This window comes from Homo sapiens, chromosome 18 (assembly GCF_000001405.40).
Source record: "Homo sapiens chromosome 18, GRCh38.p14 Primary Assembly".
Taxonomy (NCBI): domain Eukaryota; kingdom Metazoa; phylum Chordata; class Mammalia; order Primates; family Hominidae; genus Homo; species Homo sapiens.
Window position 1 is genome coordinate 49,023,703 of NC_000018.10, and position 25,762 is coordinate 49,049,464.

Here is a 25,762-nt window from a genome sequence, read left to right on the forward strand (position 1 = left end):
CCTTTCTTCACCTCTCAGCCCCATTCCAGCCTTCTCGGTGATACCCTGGCCCTTGGCTTCTATGACCCCTTCTCCCTTCTGTTCCTTCCTCCTCCTCCATGCCTGGGCCTCAGTTCCCCCCAAGGAGCTCCCTTCTGTCCAGCACCCCTAAATGTGGGTGTACCCCAGGATCTCCACCTTAGCTTATGCTTATCTCCCATGCACAGGACCCCAAATCCATGTCCCCGGGGCAGACCACATCCTGGGTGGCCTGTGGGACGTCTCCTCGGCAGCCCAAAGCACCCTGGCCCTGGCCTGCCTCTCCTCCCGAACCTCCTGCGGCCCTTGTCCTGGTCACCTGGTCTACTGAGCCGCCTCTGGGGTGCCGCAGAGAGATGGTCCAGGGAGGGGCTGTACAAATCAGGCCAGGCTGGAGGGCTGATGGGGAACCCTGGGGCCTTCATCCCCAGGAGGAGGCAGAATCAGAGTTCACAGGGAGAGAGCTGCCTGGGAGCAGTGGACCCCACGTTTCTGCTTCAGGGATGGACAGCTCTGCTGGGTGAGAAGAAAGCTCAGGCTGGCGGGGATGGCAAAGGAGCTGCTCTCGGACCCCCAATCCTGTGTATGGGTGGGTGTATGTTGGGCAGGGAGTGTGGAGTGGGGAGGGCCCCTGACAGAAGAGGAAAGCAAAGAAACGTGGTTAAACAGGGAAGCACTGAGGGTCAGACCAAAGTAATGAGAGGCGTCTGGTGTTGTGGCTAAATTATGTCCCCCCAGTTCCTCCACTGAAGTCCTAACCCCTGGTACCTCAGAATGGGATTGTGTTGGAGATGGGTTTGTTTTGTTTTTGTTTTTTTGAGACAGGGCCTCACTCTGTCCCCCAGGCCGGAGTGCAGTGACATGATACGGCCCTCCCCAGCCTCTACCTCCTGGGCTCAAGAGATCCTCCTGCCGCGGACTTCCTGGTAGCTGGGATGAGGGGTAGGTACCACCATGCCTGGCTAATTTTTGTATTTTTTTGTAGATATGGGGTTTCACCATGTCGCCCAGGCTCGTCTCAAGCTCCTGGCCTCAGCCTCCCAAAGCAATGGGGTTACAGGCATGAGTCACTGTGCCTGGCCCAGAGATGGGGTTTTTAAAGAGAGGTAGTGAAGTTAAAGTGAGGCCATATCGGTGGGCCCTGATCCAACATGACAGATGTCCTTAAAAGAAGAGGAGATTAGGGCACAGATAAGACACAGACCAGGGGCAACCGTGCGAGGCCGCGGCAGGAAGGTGGCCGTCTGCAAGCCCCACCACTAAGGGCAGCTGCTCCAAGAGCCAGGCAAGGCCTCTCCAAGAGGCCTCAGGGGCAGCCAGCCCTGCCCATGCCCTGATTATGGACATCCAGCTTCCAGAATGGTCAGAAAATACACATCTGTTGTTTCAGCCGCCCTGTTTGTGGCACTTTGTCGTGGTGGCCTCAGCGCGTGAATACACCCGGATTCCGTGTGGAGCTGGGAGAAGGGGGTGTGTGAAGGGTGGTTTCAGACGAAACTGTGCCTTCCACCCCCACCCCCCCAGACAGGGGGTCCTCAGGGCTGCCCACACCCCCTCGCCAGCTGGCTCTGTAGCCCCTCCCCCAGTTCCTGAAGGTTCAGTCCTTTGCAACATGCAGTGAACCTAAAAGGAAATCTGGAGGTCCTTTAAGAAACACCTCCCCACCCCACCTCCCAAGATGCTGTATCAGCAACAGCCTCCGAAGGTGCCCAGACACAGATACCTGCATGAACACAGCATGACTGTCATCCATTAGCATCCCAGTGTTACAAATTTGTTCTAAAATTGTCCAAAGGACATGGAAAATAGCCCCGCTTTGAAGATGTGTGCATTTTGAGATGGCCGTCTCACCACATCTGGTTTCCTGGTCTCTACGCCCAGGAGGAGGCTGAGTTGGGGCTTCCTGCTCTCTATGGGGTGGGGAGTGGCTGGTTTGAGGATGTTTCTCTGCCCTGGACACCCCTGCTCTGCCAGCTCTGTCCTGGTGGGGCTTTAACTGGTGCAGCCAGTGGCTGGGCAGGACCGACCCTGAGCAGGACTCACCTCCCTGAGTGCCCCCTCTCCACACACCCTGGCACCAGCCTCTCCCAATGACAATAGATCCTTCAGCCCCTACATCCCTCAGCCAACAGCCCCCTGCCAAGTGGAAGCCTCCTCCTAGCCTCAGGGCGGGCCAACCTCCCCTCTGGCCTCCACGGCCTCTGAGGTCTGTAGGGAAGAATGTCATCCCCATTATGCAGACTGGTGACCTGGCACAGGAAGGGCCAGCTCCTCATCGCTGATGCTGGTGTTTTGTTTGTCCTGTGCGCTTGGCAGGTAACGGGAATGGCAGGACTGTGGTTGAGCTTTGGGAGCCCGGGAAGGAAGGATACTGGAGCTGGGCTGATCCAGGACAGCTTCCTGGAGGAGGCGGGATTTAAACTGGTCAATGAGGTGAGTCCTCCTCAGAGGTGGCTAAGACCCAGGCTCTGGCCCCAGGCAGTTTCTTCTGCTCCCTCTACACTCACCCAAAAGACAGACAGCCCCACCACAAGGCCCCCCATGCCAGGCTCTGGGCAGAGCTCTTGGGGCTTAGGTGCTGCTCCGCCCCACTGCCTGGTCTTTGCATCTCTTCAACACACACCCAGGGAAATTCCCTCCATGAGGTTGTCATCCAGGTGAATTCAGGTCGGGACCAATATTGCTGGCAGCCTGCAGTGACAGTCGCCACCACTGAGCCCCTGCCATTTCTCCATCCCCTGCTTCCTGGGCACTCTGCATCTGTCATCTTGTGCTCCACAGTCCTGCTTCTACAGGCTTGGCATTCCAGGTACAGATGGGGAAACTGAGGCTCAGAGAGTCCAGTGACAGCCCAGGCACACAGGTGCCCCTGGGTAGCCAGGCAGCTGCTGCAGGGCCAGGTTCTGTCCAGGGTAGCCAGGTGGGGAGGTGGGGAGCACCCTGGTCTCTGCCCCAGCAGTAGTGGCCAGGAGGGAGCCAAGTGTGTGGGTATCAGCTTCCGTGGTTTGGAACTCAGTGTGGCCCCAACCCTGTGCCATAGCTCCTTGGTCTCAGGAGCATCTGGTCACCTCTCCTGTCCGGATGTTCCTGGGGACCTTACAGATGCCAACATGGCGATGGGGCTCCTGTGTGAAGCGCATGGCATGACGCTGCCCCGAGGGGCTTCCTAACATCGTGGAGTCAGGGTCCCGACCGGGACACTGTGGGCCCAGGGAGGGGCATCTGACCAGCTGGGTTGGCTGCAAGGACAGCTGCTGAGTCTGGCCTTGAAGGGGGACAGTGACTGACCAGGGAGATGGGACAGAAAGGGTGGTCCGGACAGAGCAGAGGCAGGGGGACGAGTGAGGGTCTTGGGGCGGGGGGCTAAGGCTACACCCCTCCCCTGAGACATCTCTCTGCTCAGCCCTGGCCCCCAGTGGGGTGGGTAAATAAAGTCTAGCTCAGGGCTTCCTTGGGACCATCAGCCCTGAGTCGGCACTGGGGTCCAGAGCTGGGAGCCTGCAGACCTCTCCCAGGCTGGGGACTCCACTCTTATCCCTGGAAGGTTTTTGAGTCCCCCAGGCCAGGCGGGTGGGCCCCTTCAGGAGCTGGGCTGGGGCTGGATTGGGGAGGGTGAGCTATGGCAAGGACAGATGTTTCCAGTTTGAGGTCTCGGGCTGCCATCAATTGTTCCACTAAACCCTGTTTCCTATTAAGCAGACTCCGGGAGGTGGAGAAGTTGCCTTCCATCATGCAGTCTCTGTGTGTGTGTGTGTGTGTGTGTGTGTGTGTGTGTGTGTGTGTAGTGGGTGCTGAGGACTGGCTGGGGAGGCCATGAAGGGCTATGGACATGTCTGTTCTCCATGCCTCCTGGCCAACCATGGGCAGAGCTGGACTTTGTCCTGGGAACTGTCCCTTGGCTCCGGAGCAGCTTCATCTGACTGAAGGGCTGAGAGCCGGGACTTGGGAGGGCTCTGGTTGGGGATTCTCACTACACACCTGGCCATGACCTTCTCCTCTGCCCGTGGGCAAACTATGGTTGGTCACCTGCCCATCCCTGCGTTCCCTGTCCTTCTTCCTGAAAGAGTCTGTGTTAGTCTGTTTCATGTTGCTATAAAGGAATGCCTGAGGCTGGGTAATTTATAGAGGTTCGATTGGCTTATGGTTCTGCAGGCTGTACAGGAAGCATGGCACCAGCATCGGCTCAGCTTCTGGTGAGGCCAAAAGAAGCTTACTGTCATGGCTGAAGGCGAAGTGGGAGCCAGTGTATCACGTGGCGAGAGAGGGAGCAAGAGAGCCAAGGGGGAGGCCCCAGACTCTTAAATGACCAGATCTAACTGAGTAAGAACTCACTCATCCCCAAGGGAATGGCACTAAGCCACCCATGAGGGATCCGCCCCCATGATCCAATATCTGCCACCAGGCCCCACCTCCAACATTGGGGATCACATTTCAACATGAGATTTGGAGGGGACCAACATCCCAACCATATCAGAGCCTGATTAATATCCTGGGACTCACTCTCCTCTCCGCAGCTAAGTGGGCTGGCCCCCGACCCTGATTCGGTGCCATGATGGGGACTCCTGTCCTTGCCAATAATGGTTTAGGAATGGGTGTGGGAAACAGGCCTGGGCATGGAAATGTGAAGGGGCCTCTGGGAGAGGAGCCCCACTCCTGAGCTGTACTCCAGATGAGATCACGCTCTGATGTAACACCAGGAGCTGTGGCAGCCCTCTTGTGAGTATGAGGGAAGCCAGCCAGAGGGTGTCAAGTACAGAGGGACACAGCATAGGACCTTAGGATGGCACTGAGCTGCTGTCTTCGCCCTCACTGGGGCTTCCTAACCTGTGAGATGACACCAGCTCTGGTTTCCTTAGGGCTTACCATTTCTAGACACAGTGCTAAATGCTCACATTATTCAACCATTATTTCTTGTAATCAGGTAGATTACAAGGTGTGGGATGCAGATGTGCAGAAATCACACATAAATCCCTGCTCCCTGAGAAGGTACATTCTCCATTTAAAAAAATATAGTCTTGCTCTGTCATCCAGGCTGGAATACAAGGGCACAGTCATGGCTCACTGCAGCCTTGACCTCCTGGGCTCGAGGAATCCTCCCACCTCAGCCTCCTGAGTAGCTGGCACCACAAGCACACACCACCATATGTGGCTATTTTTTTTTTTTTTTTTTGTAGAGACAGGGTCTCACTATGTTGCCCAGCCTGGTCTCAAACTCCTGACTTCAAGTGACCCTTCTGTCTTGGCCTTCCAATGTGCTGGAATTACAGGTCCAGCCACATTCTCCATTCTTTGAATGCTATTTCACTTAAGCCTCAAACCATAGCCTAAGCTGAAGTGCACACATCATGGTCTGTCTTCGAGACACAATCTCCCCACATAGAGAGGGCTCTCCAGACAGTAGAGGCTGGAAAGCAAAAGGCTTCATTCTCCAGGCACTTCTGAGGCTGGGGTTCTGCATTCAGCCCAGCTTTCTCCAAGAAGGGCCACCCAGCTGGGACTTGGAAAGTGGAGTGAGCATTGGGTACGGCAAGTACGTGGGCATGCAGGCAAAGTAGTGGCCCTTGGCTTCTCCGGGGTCATTGTGGGCAGAGTCTCACGACTGGTCTCTAGCTGCATGGCAGGATGCCGAGTGTTGGGCAGGGCAGCAGCCACGTTGCCTCTCAGTCCTGGGGAGCAGTTGGGAGTTTACCCTGGCTGGGTGTCATCCAAGCTTAGGTCCCTGGCTCACCCTGGAATTGGGCAGCTATCTAATATTCAGAAATAAACGCTTTTTTCCCCAAATTAGCTCAAGTAGATTACATGTTTACTGCAAATAACATCACCTAAAATGCACTTACGGGAGATGGCTGGTGGTAGATGGTGGGAATTCACCCAGCATGGGTAGAAAGCTGGTGTCTCTTGTTATGCAGTGGAAAAAGGTTAGGTCAAACTCTTGCCTCCTGTATGTAGGAAGGAAGGCCACAGCCAGACATGAGGCCGGTGCAGTCACAACATGGAACTGTCTTCGGGCTCCTGTTCTTTGGGGAGGGTGTGTGGTGCTCTCTGCAGGGGAAGGCGGCTGTGCGTGGATGTTGGATAGGGAAAGGGAGACATCATTAAGTAACATCCTCCTTCACCTGCATTTCCCCACGGCCCTTCCGGTGCACCAGGACCCAGGAAATAGAGCCGAAGCAAAGTCACAGTCTTCCTGGGCTTGCGAGTCAGAGGGTGCAGGTTGGGGTAGCCAGTGTGGCTGGAAGAAGAGGGACAATATACTAGAGAGGAAGGAGCCCCAAATTTGCCAGTAATTCCTCTTAAGTCACTGGCTAAGCTGAGCCTGTGCAGAGCAAGACTCCAACCTAGAATTTTGAAAACATCTTCAAAAATGAAGATAAAAGAAAGGCATTTATAGATAGACAAAAGCTGAATTTGTCATCAGCATGGTGACCACCCTGTCCTGGGTACCCGTTATATCTACCAATGAGGAATAATCACATCATCATTTTTGGCAGCCACTACACACAACTGGAACTCCTAAATACTGTCCTGAGTGAAGCCACCGAGTGGGACTCGTTTTCCTAAACCCAAACCACCAGATGCAAGGGCTGAGCTCCACGATGGTTCCTGCCACATCTCATCCCTGGGACTCAGCCCATTCCTCTCTCTGGATCCTCTCTATCATGTGCTGTATTGAGTAGCCCCGTCACCTCATCATTCACAGATGTGGAGAACATTCTTTCTATATCTTCCTCCACACGCTGATAAAACTGTTGTACAGGGCTGGGCTGAGAAGCAGAGACCAGAACCATCCCTCTAGAAACCATCCTCAGATCAGTTCTCAAAGTCTCTGGGATTGGCACAACTTTGCATTCTTAAAAACTACTGAGGACTCCTAAAAACTTTTGTTTATGTGGGTTATATCTGTCCATATTTATTAAAAAATTAAACAGAAATTTAAAAATAGTAACTCACTAAAGAGTAACAATACTAAACCCATGACATGCTAACATAAATAACTTTTATGAAGAATACTATGTTTCAAAAGAAAAAAAGATTTGTGAAAAGAGTGGCATCGTTTTGCATTTTTGCAAATCTCTAGTGTCTGCCTTAATAGAAGACAGCTGGATTCTCATATCAGTTTCCACATTCAATCTGTTGCAATATCACACACATGCAGCTTCTGGAAAACTCCACCGAACATTCATGAAGGAATGAAAGAGAAAAGGCAAATAACATGATGATGATGATGATGATGATGATGATGATGATGATGATGATGATGAAAGCACCTTAGGGATCCCCAGGTCTCCTGATCCCACTTTGAGAACTGTTGCTTAGGTCACCACCTCTCCATTGGCGGGTGCCCTAACCCTCTAGTAACCCTGCCCAAAGAAGCAAATGGCCTGTTTTCGATGACTCTAACCTTGTTCCACCACACCTTGGTATAGGAAGATGTAGAAACTGAGCCCCCAAGAGACTGTGTCAGCCTGAGCTTTCACAGTTGGCACATGGAACTGAAACTCAGGCTCTGGAGTCATGGAAGATGATCACGGATGGGTGCCCACCCCCAAGCCTCCGTGATGGTTTGGCTGAATTACGTCCCTGGCTCACACGCTAATCTGTCTCATCTCCCCAAGTGCAGTGAAGGACCCTGGAGGCCAGGGAGGAGGTCTCTTCTCTGACAAGCTCTTCCTGGGCCCCCTTCAGGGACAGTGGACCCACTCTATCAGCTGCAATAGCAACATTTTCAAGGAAGCAATCCATGTCCCCATCCACATAGTGGGAGCTGGGTGCAAGGGGCTTCTCGATGTTCCAAAAAAATAAGGATTTTGAGGACAGTGGTGGGGTGTGGGAGAATGATGAGATCTGAGGTGCGGTGTGACTTCTCAGCCTCTTTCTCTGTCTTTCCTCTATCACGGGTGGGGCCGGGGCCCAGATGAGTACAGGCATGTGAGAAGATGGAAACGTGAACTGTAATGTCATGAGGATGTCACCCCCTTACACAGTGTCTCATGTAAACGTCCCGTTTCACAAGGAAGACGGTGACGTCAGGAAGTGTGGGGGACTTGCCAAGGCCACGCGGCCAGTGAATGCCAGAGTAGGGTGAAGAGTGGAGTTGCTTCCCCAAAGCCCAGGGTGGCCACGAGGGCTTTACATTTAAGTGTCTCTCCATGGCCTTGGCTCAGAGCTGGGGGCCCAAAGCCCAGACAGCAGCTGCCACACGTGTAGAGAAATTCCGTCTTGGGTTGGAGGCCCCTCCTCTGCCTCAGGAAGTGGTAAGAACACAGACCAGGAATCCCCATGCTTAGGGGGAGGGGGCCCTTCTCATGGCAGGCAGTGTTCCTGGCTGGGTGCGGAGGGTCGCCCTGCTCATGCTCAGGTGTGAGGCCCGACAGCACTGAGCGGGGGAAAGGGGCTGGGGGTAGAGACTGGGCTCATCAGGGCTTACTGACACCTACTGTGGGGTGTCAGTAAGTGTCTGTGGGGAGGGGCGATTTTGGCATTCATTTCAATGAACAGCCATTTCACTGGGCTCCATGCATCAGTCGGTAGAAATTCATTTAACAGTAATCGAATATCCAAGAGGAAAGCTTGAGAACTTAAGAAAAACAACCAACTCAACCTCCCAGAAGCCAGATCTTCTCTGTTTCATTCATTGTTTTAGGACTAGTTACAATACTGTTCCTCTAGCAAGACCCATCTAGAATTTAGTGGGTGAGGAAACATTTAAGAGAAATGACTAACTTATTCTGTGGTAAATTTCTATCAGTCTTGTTTAAAATGCAAATTAGCTTTAGATTAGCTTTAACAGTTTTAATTGTAAAATCTAATAAACATACAGAAAATACATAAGATGAAAATGAACAGTTCACTGATTTATTGCCAATGAAACACTTACATGACCACTGGCCATGAGGAAATAGAACGCTGCCAGCTTCCCGAGTCCCTCCTATGCCTCTCCCAATCACGGTCGCTTCTGTTTTCCCAAAAGTAACCCGTATCCTGGCTTTCACATTAGGCATGTACTTGTCCTTCTTCAAAGTTTTACTACTTAAGTGTACATCCCCAAACTATAGGTTTATTTTGGCCTTGTTTTCTGTATGTAAATGAGCTCATACAGTATGTATTCTTTTGTATCAGTCTTCTTTTAGATGCTATAATATTTGAGTTTCATCTGTGTAACTGAATGCAGCTGGTTATTTATTTTTCACTGCTGTATAGTATTACATTGCATAGATATATTGCTATTTATTTACACGTTCTACTGTTGATATTCCTGGTGTTTCCAGTTTTTAGGTATTATGAATAATTGCACTATCAACAGTCTTGAACCTGTTGCTAGGTCTTAGGGGATGAGTATCTTCAACTTTGGTAGATATTACTAAACAGTTTTTCAAAGTGCTATCAATTTATAGTCCTACATGGACTACATGTAGGGTATCAGATTTCCTGTTCTTCCACATCCTCACAAACACTTGATGTTGTTGACCTTTTTAACTTAGCCATTCTGGTGAGTGAGTAGGGGGTATCTCATTGTGGGTTCAATTTGAATTTTTCCTTGATTTCAGCACTTTTCTATGTTATTGGTGAACTGAAAACATTTTTGAGAAATGCCTGTCTTTTGCCAATTTTATTTTTCCTCATTGAATCCTTTATATAGTCTTTATTTGACTCCTTTGTGGTTCTATACATTACAAAGATCTGCTTTCACTCTGTAGCTTACCTTCTCACTCTCTTATTGATGTCTCTTGTTAAACAGAAGTTCCTAATTTGACCGTAATCTGATTTATCTGACCTTTTCTTTATGGTTGGTATTTTTTGTTTTCTATCTAAAGGACATGAAGATAGTCTCCTATGCTTTCTTCTAGAATATTATGGTTTAACATTTCACATTTAGCTCTATAGTCCCCTGGGAACTGATTTTGCAGACAGAGTGAAGTAGGGGTCAAGATTCATTTTCCCTTCACTGTGCCAACGCCATTTATTGGGGAAAAAAATCATTTCCCCATTACCCAGCAGTGTCCCTTTTGTCAAATCAATTGTCCTTATATATGTGGACCTTTAAGTTCTATTTCATCAATATGTTTTGTCTACCCTTATAACAATACTAAACTTAGAGTAAATTTGTAAGTCTTTGTTTTCGTTTTGAGATAGGATTTCGCTCTGTCACCTAGGTTGGAGTCCAGTGGTGCAGTCTCAGCTCACTGAAACCTCTGCCTCTGGGCTCAAGCAATCCTTCTGCCTCAGCCTCTCCAGCTGCTGGGACTACAGGTGTGCACCACCACACTTGGCTAATTTTTAAAATTTTCTGTAGAGACAGAGTTTCACCATGTTGCCCAGGCTGGTCTCAAGCAATCCTCCCACCTCAGCCTCTCAAGTGCTGGGATTATAGGTGTGAGCCACTGCACCTGGCCTATAGGTTTTAATTAGAGTACATCTGTAAGTTGTAGACATCTAGCAATGTAAGTATGGGCTTTATTCTTTTTCAAGGTTTTCTGTGCAATTCTAGGCGTTTTGCATTTCCATGTAGATTTTAGGCAAAACCAATTTGTCAAGTTTTCCCATTCCCCCAAAATACTGGGATTTGGATTGAGATTGCATTGAATCCGTAGATCAATTCTGAGATATCGAGCCTTCCAACTTATGAATCTAATGACCCTGGAGTGGTCCCTTATTTAGGGAACCCTTATTTAGATCTTTAGTTTCAATCACACTTTATTTTAGATTGATCTCTGAGTATTTGTTTTATTATTTATTTTTTTATTATACTTTAAGTTCTAGGGTACATGTGCACAACGTGCAGATTTGTTACATATGTATACATGTGACATGTTGGTGTGCTGCACCCGTTAACTCATCATTTACATTAGGTATATCTCCTAATGCTATCCCTCCCCCCTCCCCCCACCCCACGACAGGCCCCAGTGTGTGATGTTCCTGACCCTGTGACCAAGTGTTCTCATTGTTCAATTCCCACCTATGAGTGAGAACATGTGGTGTTTGGTTTTCTGTCCTTGGGATAGTTTGCTCAGAATGATGGTTTCTAGCTTCATCCATGTCCCTACAAAGGACATGAACTCATCCTTTTTTATGGCTGCATAGTATTCCATGGTGTATATGTGCCACATTTTCTTAATCCAGTCTATCATTGATGGACATTTGGGTTGGTTCCAAGTCTTTGCTATTGTGAATAGTGCCACAATAAACATACATGTTCATGTGTCTTTATAGTAGCATGATTTATAATCCTTTGGGTATATACCCAGTAATGGGATGGCTGGGTCAAATGGTATTTCTAGTTCTAGATCCTTGAGGAATCACCACACTGTCTTCCACAATGGTTGAACTAGTTTACAGTCCCACCAACAGTGTAAAAGTGTTCCTATTTCTCCACACCCTCTCCAGCACCTGTTGTTTCCTGACTTTTTAATGATCGCCATTCTAACTGGTATGAGATGGTATCTCATTGTGGTTTTGATTTGCATTTCTCTGATGGCCAGTGATGATGAGCATTTTTTCATGTGTCTTTGGCTGCATAAATGTCTTCTTTTGAGAAGTATCTGTTCATATCCTTTGCAATTTCATTGTCTAATTGTTTATTGCTAGCATCAGAAATACACGTTATTTTTGTCTGTGACCTTGTGTCCAGAAGCCTTGTTAATTTTACTAGTTTATTGGCTAATTCTTTAAATTATCTATATCCTCAATCATGTCATTTACAAATAATGATAGTTCATTTTCTTCTGACCCTACCCAATTAATTTAAAAGGAAATCTTGCCATACTAGGCCAGGAACTCAGGTGATAGTTTCCTCAACGTATAGCAAAATTGAATATTGTACAGTGTACATTTGTATACCCACCATCTGGATTCTACCATTCTAGATTTTACCAAGTTTACTATATCTGCTTTATCACATATATATCTATCCATCAAGCCATCCTTTTTTCCCTTTTCATGATGCATTTCAAAGTAATTTAAGGTACCAGTACACTCCCCACTAAATACTTAGGCATGCATAGCATCACCTAGCGACATTTTGAATAGAAGTGATAATAGACATCCTTTTTTTTGCTTCTGATCTCAGAATGAAAGCTTTTGATATTTTAAGTATGATGCGTTTGCTGTAGTTTTAAAATAATATTTATAAGATTAAGATAGCTTCCGTTTTTCCTAGTTCGCTAAACATTTCTAGCACTTGACTGCTGAATTTTATCACATTTTCCCCTGCATTTATTGAGATCATTTACTTTTCCTTCTGTATTCTTTGAATAACTCTAATTGATTTGTGAATGACAAATCCAATTTGATCATGATGTATTTTTACACATTGTTTTTGTAGATTGCTAGTTTCTGTTTGCATCTATACCATGAGGACTGGCCTATAATTTTCCTTTCTTGTATTGTTCTTGGCAAATTCTTTATATCTAAGGTTAAGCTGTTTTCATAAAACAAATTAGAAGGTTTTTCTATTTTCTGGGAGACTGTCTAAAACTGGCATTATTTCACTCTTAAATGTTTGGTTAAATTCACTACTGAAGCCATCTTGGTCTGTAAATTTCCTGTGGCAGATTGTAATTATGGACTCAATGTATGCGCTAGATATAGGATGATTCCAATGTTCAGGATCGTTTCATGTCAGTTTTGGAGAGTTTTTTTTTTTTTTTAAAGAATTTGTTCATTTTATGCAAAATCTAAAAACAACTTTAATGAGGCATACTTAATATATAAAACTGCACATATGTAATAAAGTGTACAATTTGATTAGACATATGTATACACCTATCACTGCAATAAAGATCATTTCAACTAGATTTAAAATTTATTGGTATTCATAATATTCTCTTAAATATGTATACATATTTTTGAGACACGGTCTCTCACTCCATTGCCCAGGCTGGAGTGTGGTGCCATGACCACAGCTCACTGCAGCCTCTACCTCCTGGGCTCAGGTAATCCTCCTACCTTAGCCTCTCCAGTAGCTGGGACTACAGGCACACACCACCATGCTCAGCTAATTTGTGTGTGTGTGTGTGTAGAGACAGGAGGGTTTCACCATGTTATCCAGGCTGGCTCTTAAATATTTTAAATGTCTGCATAATCTGAAGTAACTTACCTGTTTTCCTTTCTGATATTGGCTATTCCTCTCTCCTGCCCTTTCTCCTTCCTTCTTTGATCAGTCTTTTAAGGGGTTATGAATTCTTTTATTTATTTATTTTGGGACGGAGTCTCGCTCTGTTGCCCAGGCTGGAGTGCAGTGGCACAATCTCTGCCCACTGAACCCTCCACCTCCCAGGTTCAAGCAATTCTCTTGCCTCAGCCTCCTGCGTAGCTGGGACTACAGATGCCCACCACCACGCCCAGCTAATTTTTGTATTTTTAGTAGAGACGGGGTTTCATCATGTTGGCCAGGCTGGTCTTGAACTCCTGACCTCAGGTGACTCCCAAAGTGCTGGGATTACACATGTGAGCCAACATGCCCAGCCAATGAGTCCTCTTAATCCTTTTAAATAACCAACTTTTGACTTTGATTCCCTTTATTGTATATTTGTGTTCTATATCAGTAATTTGGCTTATTTTTGGGTTTCATGTGCTGTTTTTAAAATTTTTGAGGTAATTGCTTAATTGATTTTTAACCTTTCTTCTTTTCTAACATAAACATTTAAATATATATGTGTGTGTATATATATATATGAACAATAGACACTAGGGACTCCAAAACGAGGGAGGAAGGGAAGGAGAGAGGGAAGCAAGTGCTGAAAAACTTTCTATTGGGTACTATGTTCACTATCTGGGTGACAGGATCATTAGGAGCCCAAACCTCAGCATCATCAATATATTCTTGTAACAAACCTGAACAGGTACTCTTTAAATTTAAAATAAAATTAAAAGGTCTTCTAAGCATAGTTTTATTTGCATCCCACAAGTTTTTTCTCTGTTTTGATATGTAGTATTTTCATGATCAGTTCAAAATATTTCAAATTTCCATTAAGATTCTGACAGATGGGTTACCTGGAAATCTATTTCCAAAAATATGAGGATTATAAAATTATCTTTTTGTAAATAATTAGTCTTGATTCTATTATGGTCAGAGAACATATTTCATTTGAAGTATTTTCAGGTTTGTTGAGACTTTTTTTCTGAGACAGGGTCTTGCTCTGTCACCCAAGCTGGAGTGCAGTAGTGCAATTATAGCTCACTGCAGCCTCGACCTCCTGGGCACAAGTGATTCTCCTGCCTCAGCTTCCCAAGTAGCTGGGGCTATAGGCACATGCCACCATGCCCAGTTAATTTTTTTATTTTTTGTAAAGGTGGGGCCTCATTATGTTGCCCAAGCTGGTCTCAAACTCCTGGGCTCAAGTGATCTTCCTGACTTGGCCTCTCAAAGTGCTAGTATTACAGATGTGAGCCACTGTGCCTAGCCTGTTGAAACCTTTATAGCCCAGTATTTTGGAGTGTGTGCCATTTGTGTTTGAAAAGTATGTTATTGAGTTTGGTGTCCTACATACATCCGTTTGGTTTGCTCATTTCATTGCTTAAATCTTTTATAACTTGATTTTTGTATGCTAGTTTTTCTACCAATTAACAAAATAGGCATGTTAAAATATCACTCTGGTTGCATATTTGTCTAAATTTCCTATCAAATTTTCTTTTACATATTTTGAGTTTATATTTTAAGTGCATATAAATTTAGATTATCTTTCTAGTAATTGAATTGACCCTTTTATTTCTTAAAAAAATTATTGCCTTAAAGTTTACTTAAATATATCTACACCAGTTTCCTCATGGTTACTGTTTGCTGGGTATGTATTTCTCCATCTTTTTCTTCCAAAATTTCTAAATTCATGTTCTAAAAATGTCTCTTGTAAATAGCATATGGTTTAAAACAAGGCTGACAATATTTGTCAACATTTGAGCATTAGTCCATTTACATTTAGTGTAATAATGGATTTATCACAAATATCTTGCTTTCTATTTGTTCCACCTGTTCTGCTTTTTCTTCTTTCTTAGACTCTTTTGCAATTCTTAAATCTTCCACTGAATTGATTATTCGAATTCTCTCTTATTATGTGGAAAGCTATACACTTTTATTGATATCTCAAATATTATCATGCATACATGAGTTATCAAAGACTAATATTAAATGAATTTTTACTCTCTTCTTGGATGATGCCAAGTGTCTTAGAACACTTAAAATTCCCACATAAATCCTTTCATTTTCATACATTTTATTTCTCTATATATTTAAAACTCCATAAGACATAATTATTGTTTTATGTAGTCAATATTTATGTGTCATTTTCATTGCTCTTCAATCTTTCCTAGGGCTCTGTCCTTACGTTTGGGATTATTTTCCTTCTGCCTGTAAAACACCTTTTAAATTTTCCTTTAGGGTAGGCGTGCTGATTAATTCTTCTAGCTGTTTCTCTAAAAATGTCTTCATATCCTCTTCATTTTTGCAGGATATTTTCCCTGATTAGAAATTTTTAGGTTGGCAGTCATTTTCTTTCAGAACCATAAAAGGCAGTATTTCACTGTCTTCCATTGTTTCTGCTGAGAAGGAGCTGTCAGTCTAATATTATTGCTCCTTTAATGGTTATATTCCCTCTCCCACCCCAGCAGGTCTAAAATATTATTTTTCTTTGGTCTTCAACAGTTTTACTATGATGTTTCTAGGTGTGGGTTGTTTTTATTTATCCCACTTGGAGTTTGTGGGAGGGATTCTTGAATTTTTGGTGTGATATCTTTCATGAGTTTTGGAAAAGTTCTCAGCCATTTGTTTAAATATTCCTTTCTTCTACTCTTTTGAGATGCCAACTACCCTGCATGTCTGAGCAGGTCAGACATGCTCACTGTACCCTTTAAGTCTCTTACCCTCTATTCTCCATGTTCTGTTTTTTTTACTATATAATTCCTGCTCCCACCCCTCACCCTCAATTTTTCATCTTACTCATTCTCTTTTCAGTTATTTCTAATCTGCTCTTAAACCTGTTCACTGTTCTTCTCATTACAGTACTTTAGTTATAGAATTTCCAATGCGCCTTTTACAGTTTCTAACTCTCTGTTGAAATTCTTGACCATGCGTCTCATTTTTTTGAACACAGTAACCATAGCTGTTTTAAATTCTGCGACAACTTTATCTGGAGTCTGTTTGGATATTTCTATTGTCTGTGTTTTCCTCTAATGGTTTTAATTCAAGTAATTAATGTTGTCTGGTCTTCTCCCATACCTGGGTATTTCTGATTGCAACACTGCAGAAATAATTTGAGGCCTTGGGTTATGTTTACTTCCTCCACAGAATTTGCCATTTGCTTCAATTGGGCACCTGAAGGCATCAGTAATCTGGTTTCACCTCGGACCACATTCAGGTACTGAGGTGGTTTAGAAGTTGAACTGCACTACCCATGAGGGATAGTCCAATGACAGTAATGGAGGACCAACCCTCAAGCTAAGGACAACTTGGAAATCTGGTAAAAATATTTTTAAAATTTGCTTGAAGGACCCCAGAGTCAACAAGATAGTTAAGTATTACTTGTCCAGTTCTATGGGGCTGCTTTTCCTCTGGGGGATTTTGCTAATGCCAGAGGCTGTGTCTGAGTAGCTGACATTTAGACAGCCTTGTGAAGTTAGATTAGGGGTTGAGTATGACCTGGCCAAGGGTCTTGGGGCTACTGGTGAGTCTCCCTTGCTTTGAGTGGGAACTCTGAATAGCTATACGCTAATGAGATTAAATTTTATGCTTTAATTCATACAAAATAAATATGCATTATTTGCTGTGGATTGTGTGTTATAATCTACTTCTCAGTTCTTCATATGCATAGCTAGCTTAGCTCTTCATCACTGAATAGAAACTGACCTCTTTGACTCCAGGAGGTGATGTAGGACACTGGAATTGTTCTGAATTTGGAGTCAGAAGGCCTAATAATCAGTCCCTAAAATCAAGTGGCAACTACTGATATTGCAGGATAGTGCCTAGGAAAGAATTAAGAGACCCAAAGGGTTGACCTTGCAGAGACTCCAGCCTATGAAGTATCAGCAAGTGCCAAAAATTTATGGCTCTGCAAAAAAGCACAGGGTGACTCAATTATGCAGAGAGCTCTACCACCCAATGCAAAACCCTGGCTCCCGGAATCTAAAGGACGAAATGTTGCTTAAAGTATGATATATTAACAATTCCAGTGCTTAAAAGTTTCCCTCACTAAATATTTCTCTTGGATGTACCTTAGCAAGCTCTTAGGAAGTTGCTGAGTGTTCTGATGCTGGTCCTGTGTCCTTTCCACTTTCTATCGTCTACTTCCCAGCTCCTGTGCTTTCCTTCCAGAGAGAACTGTGTGTGCAGTGTACTTTCTATGCTTCACCTTCAGGGACCTTCTCTTCTTTCCTTTCTCTGTCTTTGTCCTTGAGCTGTGTTGTCTGCACTGCTGAATGGTGGCAGTCCTGCTGCAAGGTTGTTGTTCATAGATTGTATGACACCAGCCTCAACGGGTGACTGTGGGAACTAGAGTTAGAAATCTGAAGCTCTTCTGCAAAGTGCCTTGAACTCTTGATAGGGAAGATGCTATTGAAAGGGACAAATTCTTTTAAAAGTAAATATTGTGGCAGAAGTCTTTGTTGATAAAATGACACAATGCAGTAACAGCTTCAGATCTGGGGTAAAATCAGATGCCAATTTCCATCTGAACACACGATGATCCTGTGTTGCATCATTACACATTTTTACTTCGTGTAAAAATTTCTAAGCAAACTAATACTCAAAATTAATGCAAGTATAATGAAAGTTTATCATTCAGATTTATTGCCATATAATAAATCTTTCACAAAAATCAGGAAGAAGCCTCTGGTGACTTTGCAGAGCTGAGGCAGTGATGCACGTGGTGGGGCCTCCCTCCTGAGCGGGAACCAGGACTGGGAGCATCACTTGCAGGCCTCCATGGAGGCTGCTGCCCCAGCTGAGCTGTTAGCTAGTGAGTGCTTCTACTGTGTGATGAATGAGAAAAGGGAAAGAGGGGAGGGCAATCAGGGTTCTGGGGGCACCTCAGTGAGCCCAGAGGCCTGGAGGAGAGGCTGTATGATTCCCCAGTCAGGCCTTCCTTGGGAGTGTGCCCTCTGTCAAGATGACTGGGTTTTTGAAGGGCCTCATTTCCTCACACAACAAGCACTGACAGTCCTGCAGCCCAGGGACTGTCCTGTGGCACTGCCCAGCCCTCAGACTCAGAGGACAGTTCTGTGGTCCTGCCAGAAGCTCAGCTGTTCCACATGACCCTTAAACATTTAAACAATTTTTTGGTTTAAAGGAAAAGGAAGCCAATCAAAATGCTTTGGAAACAAATTAAAGTTGCAAATTATTTCCCCACATAGTAAATACATATCCTTGCTACCTGAAATGATAATCATCACTCCCCCTGCTGGCTGAGAGCGCTTCTCCTCCTTCAGACTGGCTCTGCCACAAAGCTAAGTATTAGTAGAAGTTGTTGCCAAGCCTCACCTCTAGCCTGTACATGGGCTCTGAGGTGAACACAGGAGTCAGAGTCCCCACTCCAGCAGTGACTGGAGGAGGCCTGACAGAACAAGCCCCTTGGGGACAGGAGGCAAGCTGCACTCACCTCTGGGACCCCACCCGGGATGGGCGCTCCACGAGTCCCTTGGCCTTAGGGAACCTCTGTTTCATTCCATCCAGACGAGGATAGGGAAGCTTCCTGCCCTACCTCGACAGCCTCTAAGAGCACAGCTTGGCCAGGCCTTCCCGTGTGGAGCCCACACAGTGGTGCACTGAGAGGCTGCCAGTGTTTTGACCTTTTACAGAGCTTGGGGTGACTGAGAATGGTTCCTCCGAGGCCCTCGGAAGATTTGATGGACTCAAATAACACGGGCCTGCAGCCCTGGGACACAGGACAGGAGAAGCCAGCCCTGACACAGATGAGCTGGCAGTGGATTCGAACAGTGTGCTCAGTCTCGTCTGGGCTTTTGTGCTTTCTATGTTGAAGACCAAATACTTTTTCTTTGAGAATGAAACTAGGCTCCTTATCTAGACTGTGAAGGGGCCCGTGAGGACACAGAGTGTGACTGGAAAGGAAGGTCCCAACTGGCCCTCAATGTGGCCCCAGTGGCTGTTTCCCTGCAAGAAGCTCCTTCCTCCAGCTCAGGCACCAACACACGGATCACACCGGCCCAGAAACAAAGAGCAAAACATGCTTTTCATCCCACGTGGAATACAGTATGAACAAATTACTCTCCTTTTTCTATTAGTGTGGGTGAAGGAAAAAGACTGTTTTCAAATGAAGCTTTTCTTTTTCCCAATGATTAATACAGAGTAGATTAACTTAATTTGTGCTAGACTCCAATTTAATTCCAGCAACAGTTCACAGGCCATATTCACAGAAAAGTTAATCTGGGCTTCATGAGAAGTAGCCATTTTCTTTTTCTTTTCTTTCTTTTTTTTTTTTTGCGAGACAGGGTCTCACTTTGTGGCTCAGGCTGGAGTGTACTGGCACGTTCTTAGCTCACTGCAGCCTTGAACTCCTGGGCTCAGGCAATCCTCCTACCTTAGCCTCCTGAGTAGCTAGGACTACAGGAATGTGCCATCATGCCTGGCTAATTTTTAAGTTTTTTGTAGAGATGGGATCTCACTATGTTGCCCAAGCTGGTTTCAGATTCCTGTGCTCAAGGGATTCTGCTAACTTGGCTCCCCAAAGTGCTGGGATTACAAATGTGAGCCACTGTATCTGGCCCATATTCTTTTTTAAGAAAAGATGCAGAGGTGTTAAATATTAATATCAAATTGTCCAGGCATGGTGTTTATGAAATTGTGTGCCCTCTGACAGGCAACCAAACACACACGACTTCATTTCTTTATTAATTCCTGCCTCATCATCTTTTCTCATTGATGCTCCTTAATGTCAAAGGAATCTCTCTCTCTCACACACACATAAGACCAAAACAAATATCTTGAACATGCAAAAAAATAGTCTACGCTTTTGAATAGTGTGCACTGTTGAATAGTGTGCACTGTTGGATAGTGTGCACTGTTGAAGTGTGATGTGCCTAAGGCAACAGGATCTTGGGAAAGCTCTAGATTTTTGGCTTCGAAATAAAACTGCATGTTGAATAGCAGGTTTTTACATTTATTATTGTTGTGTATTTCCTCCCCTTTTTGCAATACTATCTACGCTGAGTTATCTATTGCCAACTAGCACCAATTCTCCAAATCAAAGTGTGTGAGGAAAACACACTCGTGCAATCCTCTTTAACAGAAGATACACCAAGTAACCTGTCTGTCTACTTCTGTTACCCAGAAATAAAAGAACTTGAAGGGCTGCTTGGCTGGAGGGGTCCGGGTGGGAGAGCATCCTGCCCTCAGTCGGAATCCATGGTGAACAGCTGGATGTCCTGTGGATTCCAGTACAGGCCGACTGCTGAGTTGTAGACAAGAGACCAGACATAGGGGATAAAAAACTCCTCGGGCTGCTCCTCTTCCACATATTTGAATTTCAATTCTGGAAATTTCTGCAATGAAAATAAGATGATTTTATAATCCCACAGTTCCATGCACAAGCAAAAGTGGTGAGAGTTTGCAGGTGGTGCTGTGGTGTGCGGGGAGCCCACCCACCCCTGCCAACTGGTCACAGGGCATGAAAGCTCTGGGGCTTTAAAATATTTCAGCTATCAAATGGCTCCTGAGAAAATGTGAATTACCGATGGAGAGAGCAAGTAACACAATGGGTCCTGGTTGGCTAATGTCAGTTTGGCTGATAGTTCCCTGCTAGGGACCCCAACAGTGGTTAAGGTATGATGAGAAATATCCTAGCTGAGACATGGACCCTGCCTGGGAGGCAGACAAGGCTCAGGCTGATATTCCCCAGAGTGCAATGCTAGGGACTGGCTTTTGAGAGGCACTGTCCTCAGGGTTCCACCATTCTGGAGGTGAGGACCTTCCCCTTCACAATCCTGAGCCCTGACCTGAAGGGGTAGGCATGTGCCACCGGTGGAGGGGGGCTACTCTGGAGGAGCGGGGGTCTGGGGTGGCCAGCTTTCTTGGCCATAGCTTGGCCTCAGTCTCTTCCTCCCTGGAGGCAGGAGCAATGGCTTTGGCTTTGCGGAGAGGGAGCCCGAGGCTGCTCCTCATGGAGTCTGGGAAAAGGCCTAGGCCTGGCTCTACAAACACATCGCAGGTGCCCTGGTCTGCAAACTCCAGTCCTCTGTTATGTAAGGAGTCGTGCAGCTCAGTGGCCTAAGGCAGCACTTGCGTTTTAGCACATCACTGGGATTTGGGCTTTTGATTTTCTACTTTTATTCCTGGCCTATTTATTCCAGCCAGGGCAGAGGAAGTGATTCCACTTTCAGCAGCTTGAGGAGTGGCTAGAGTCTACCCAAGGCCCCTGGGCCTCTCCTTTGCCAAGGCGTCGCTGGCAGGAGTGGCTGCAGCTTGGTGACCCTTGTCCCAGGTTGGGTGGGGAGAGAGGGGACAGGGTCCTGGGAGGAGGAGGACGGTGGAAGGCTGAGGAAGAGGGGGCTGAAAGAGAGGAAACCACACACTTCCCCACATGCATCCACAGCCACACTTATTATACTATACTGGAAGACATGGCCCATAGGGCAGAGAGGTTTTTATCTGTTTTGTCAGGTGCTGCATCCCCAAGGATATTAGCCAGGCACTTAATAAACTGATGAGTGAATGAATCAATGAAGCAATCAACCAAGTATTGAGGGCCAACTATGTCCCAGACACACTGTAGATGCTTTGTATGTATTATCTAATTTAGTCCTTCTTATGGGAGTCCATTCATTTGTTCATTCACTCATTCTTCATTCTACTGACTATCTGCTGGCAGGTGCCAGGCAGGCACTGTGTGGGCCAGGGCCTAGAGATACGGGGGTGCGGCAGCCAAACCCAGCTCCTGTTCTCATGGAAGGTAAATCTTCATGGAGGAGAGAGACAGAAACAGCAGCAGCAGCAACAAAAAACCAATAATAACAGGGCAGCAAGGCAGGGAAGGACAAGGAGCCAGAAGGGAGGAGGTGGCAGCCAGACGAAGGGGAGGTGAGCTCCCCTGGAGGGCCCCGCACAGGAAAGGCCTGGGTGTGAGGCTGGAGGCTAAGGAGGGGGTGGGGGAAGAGCACACACCGGGGAGCAGAGGCCAGACTGGGGAGCTGCACATAAGGTCCCGGAAGCCTCTGAAGGGCCTGAAGGCTAAGGCATGAGAATGGCACTGTGCAGTGGCTGCTCCCATCACAGCGGGGAGAACTGGAGGGCACAGTGCAGCAGGCAGAGGCAGGAGCCTAGTCCAGGGAAGGGGGAAACAGGCCTGAACTAGGATGATGCTAGCTGGGTGGATTTAAAAGATATTTAGGAAAGGGGAGGAGCAGGTAGAGGAGCTGCATGCGCGCACACACACACACACACCCACACCCACATCCCCAAATACACACCACTCACATAGACACACACACAGACACACCGAGGCACGCACACACAGATAAAACACACAGACACGCACACATAGACACACACACCACAGACTCACACACATAACACAAACACAACACAAACATCCATACCCACAACATATACACAGACACAGACAACACACCCAGACATGCGCGCGCACACACACACACACACCAGACACACACAATACACACACACCCAGACATGCACATACAGACAACACAGACATGCACACACACACACACCACAGACAAAACACACAAGACACATACACACACAATACATACAAAACAGATACCCACACACTCACATGCAGACACACCCACACACACACAGACACACACACAGACATACACAGACATGCACATACAGACACACACACACCAGACACACAGACACAACACACACAGACACACACAGTAACAAGAATTTTAAAATAACATTTACAGTGATTAAGACTAAAAGCATCTGGACCAGGTATAGTAGCTCACGCCTGTAATCCCAGCACTGTGAGAGGCCAAGGCAGGAGGATCACTTGAACCCAGGAGTTAAAGACCAGCCTGAGCAACCTAGCAAGACCCTATCTTTACAAAAAATTTAAAAATTAGCCAGATGTGATGGCGCATGTCTGTAGCTACTCAAGAGGCTGAGATGGGAGGATTGCTTGAGCCCAGGAGTTCGAGGCTTCAGTGAGCTAGAATCATGCCAGTCCACTCTAGCCTGGGCCTAAGAGTGATATCCTGTCTCTAAAAATAATTAAACCAAAAAATTAAATTTGAAAAATAAATTTAAGAAAACCAACTAAAAACATCTAAGTGCTGGATCTTCAGAGTTCCAGAATGATCAGAGAGGAGCAGAGTGAAGCAGCAAAGACTTTGTGGCAAGAGTTACATCTTGAACAAGTGTGTAAGAATTCCTAAAACGGAGGGTGTTCTGGCCATTGATGTAACTTCAACACACAGCCCCCATCTGCTATGGCTTCAGTGATCAGCAGCTCCCCACTTTGTGGCTACCAGACTGTTATATAAATAGACGCCAAGCTCTAGCACTACCTAGGCCTAGATCTCCCCACACCCTGCACCCCCACACTGCAGTCCCCTTTTCAAAAACTACTAGTTCTAGTTCAATGAAACCTGTGCCTTTTCAGACCATCAGTGTTTCCTTCCAGCTCTTTGCCATCATCAGCGCAGGCTGGAAGTCTCAGTGTCTGCTGATGATGTTGCTCATGACTGCAATGGAGGGGACAACTTCTTTAGCTGGGCTCTTTGGCCCAGTCTGGCTGACAAAGTTTGATCAGCTCAGGATGTGGCACCACTTCCAGCACTTGCTGACACGAGTCAGAGTTCAATGAGGCCCCAGCTTTATTTTTCTTTCTTTATTCTTTCCCTCCTCTCAGCTGACACCTAAGGCCCCCAGCTTTCTACTCCCTCCTCGTCCACTCCTGAAGTCCCCTTGCACCCCACCTGCCCTGCACAGTGCTCTCTGGGTGTTCCCTAACTGCTGGTGGGGCGGTATCCTAGGGCCTGGAGAGTTTGGGAGCCTCCTCATACACTGTGTTGATTCCAGCCCGACATGGGGTTCTCAGGTATGTGGGTGCTTAGAGGGAAGTCTTTGTCATGGAATCAGGTGTCTAAGAGGTACCAACACGATGATGTTCTTTTCTGTGAAAAATCTGCATTTGTAGCAAGAGGGGGGCAACAAGTAGCTCCCACCGACCCGCGCTCCCCATACATCATGCCGTCTGAAGCTCCCACGGCATCCTGGTCAGTCACCAAATGTCCCGCTGAGGCCAGTGCCAACCCCATGAAGAGAAGGTAACTCGGAGCTCAGAGAGGCTAAGTGCTCGGTTGCAAGGTCATGCAGCCTGCTGGAGTGGAGTCAGGTTTAAAGCCTGGGTCTGACTGTGTGCAAAGTTAGTTTGAAAAGTGACATCAGAGTTCTGGCCACCCTAATGCTTTATCCTTAAATTTGATTCTCTTAGGCTCCACGAAACCCTTCTGGGTGTGAGGTACAGAGCTCAGCACGCTGCTGGTCCTTAAAAAAAGAACCACATGAGGGCAATAATCACGAGAGGACTGTGGTGCTATGTGAAGAAGAAATGAAACTCATCCATGATAATGGAGATGAAAATCCTAGTTCTTAGGACGGCCTCAAACTTTAGAAAACCTCACACGGACTCAGGGAGAAGAGAGGGGCTAGGTGGGTGTGCAGAGTCCCCCAGTGGCTTGTTTTCATTGGAATAATAACATCTTACATTTCGATGTGGTAATGTCGCTGTTAAAACGCACTTCTCATTGTTAGAAATAAAAATGACTCAAAGATGTGAAAGCTTTTCTCCATTCAGTGACTTACATGGGGGTTTTCCCATGAAGGCCTTAGGAGAGGCTGTGAGGCAGCTTATGCAAGGCTGCTTTCCGCATCTCTAAGGAGGGTGGAATGGGAAATAAAACCAATAAACTGTAAACTGCTCTCAGAAGAATTCCTTCCAGCTGAATTACAGAAACTTAGGCAAGGCTGCTACTAAGTTTATGGGCTAGCAGTAAGTTTTCCTGCCCTCATGGCTTTGGGGAAACTCTGATGACTATTCCGCTAGAAGGAGTAATGAGTCAAAGACTGCCCTTAAATCCTGCAAAAGAGGATCTGGAAAAAATACCTGGCACCCCCATGACTATCCTTCCCACCACCTGGTACAACCAGAAGTGAAAATGCCTCAAGTTGATGTTGAAACAATAACTCATCTCACCCTCCACAAAGGCACAGGACATCTCTCAGCAACAGAGATCTTTCCTCTAATCGGAAAGTACACTCTTTGGCTGGTAGTAACTATGGCTTTCAAATGTTGCAAACAAAATCTCAGGAACATCCAGTATATAGCATATGATAGTACACAAAAATGGTATAAAATAGTATAAACTTTATCTGTCAAGAGAAGACGTGTAGATTTTATTATGAAGTTATTCTTCAAGCTGATCATTATTTCCATAGAAGTTCTCCATAAAAATAATAAATTCTGAGATTATACCTAGCATTTATAGCTAATACAATTGATTACCTATTATATGGCAGGCATATTCAAAGAATTTACATATAGTTACTCATTTCATCTTTGAAACAACTACAAAAAGCAACTCCAAAGGCAGGCAGATAATTTGAGTTTCAGTCCCATCTTTTCCCATTCATTCACTCAGTAAATACTTACTGAGGGCCTAGTGTATAGTAAGCACAGGACTAAAAATACAGCCACTAGGACACATGGGGTCCCAGCCTTCAAGAGCTAAAAGGCCAGTCCTTATTAGCTGAGTGACCTTGGACTAGTCT

The 25,762-nt window shown here is 46.0% G+C and overlaps 1 protein-coding gene and 1 long non-coding RNA gene across 37 annotated transcripts in view, besides 4 other annotated features; one reads left to right on the plus strand and one right to left on the minus strand.

Moving 5' to 3' along the window:
• Positions 1–24,772, plus strand: DYM-AS1 (DYM antisense RNA 1). The gene is made up of 5 exons (NR_148999.1): positions 1–37; positions 520–607; positions 2,335–2,451; positions 16,298–16,367; positions 24,426–24,772. It is a non-coding gene; the product is annotated as a DYM antisense RNA 1 (long non-coding RNA).
• Positions 1,665–2,566: an enhancer, noted in NCBI's record as "H3K4me1 hESC enhancer chr18:46551737-46552638 (GRCh37/hg19 assembly coordinates)". NCBI's record gives its function as "activates a minimal SCP1, AML or CMV promoter by ChIP-STARR-seq in naive H9 embryonic stem cells {active_cell/tissue: H9 hESC(naive)}" and the evidence as "EXISTENCE:reporter gene assay evidence [ECO:0000049][PMID:30033119]".
• Positions 6,079–6,227: a silencer, noted in NCBI's record as "fragment chr18:46556151-46556299 (GRCh37/hg19 assembly coordinates)". NCBI's record gives its function as "represses an EF-1alpha promoter that drives an FKBP-Casp9 reporter gene in an ReSE screen in K562 erythroleukemia cells {active_cell/tissue: K562}" and the evidence as "EXISTENCE:reporter gene assay evidence [ECO:0000049][PMID:32094911]".
• The window catches only part of DYM (dymeclin), a 424,259-nt gene continuing 411,181 nt past the window's right edge, over positions 12,685–25,762 (minus strand). For all 36 annotated transcript variants that reach the window (NM_001374439.1, XM_047437559.1, XM_047437553.1 and 33 more), the window contains one exon: positions 12,685–20,502. In NM_001374439.1, coding sequence (NP_001361368.1) covers positions 20,353–20,502 — 150 coding nt within the window. In that variant the 3' untranslated portion in view covers positions 12,685–20,352. The remainder of the gene's footprint in view (positions 20,503–25,762) is intronic.
• Positions 20,689–21,654: an enhancer, noted in NCBI's record as "H3K4me1 hESC enhancer chr18:46570761-46571726 (GRCh37/hg19 assembly coordinates)". NCBI's record gives its function as "activates a minimal SCP1, AML or CMV promoter by ChIP-STARR-seq in primed H9 embryonic stem cells {active_cell/tissue: H9 hESC(primed)}" and the evidence as "EXISTENCE:reporter gene assay evidence [ECO:0000049][PMID:30033119]".
• Positions 21,655–22,619: an enhancer, noted in NCBI's record as "H3K4me1 hESC enhancer chr18:46571727-46572691 (GRCh37/hg19 assembly coordinates)". NCBI's record gives its function as "activates a minimal SCP1, AML or CMV promoter by ChIP-STARR-seq in naive H9 embryonic stem cells {active_cell/tissue: H9 hESC(naive)}" and the evidence as "EXISTENCE:reporter gene assay evidence [ECO:0000049][PMID:30033119]".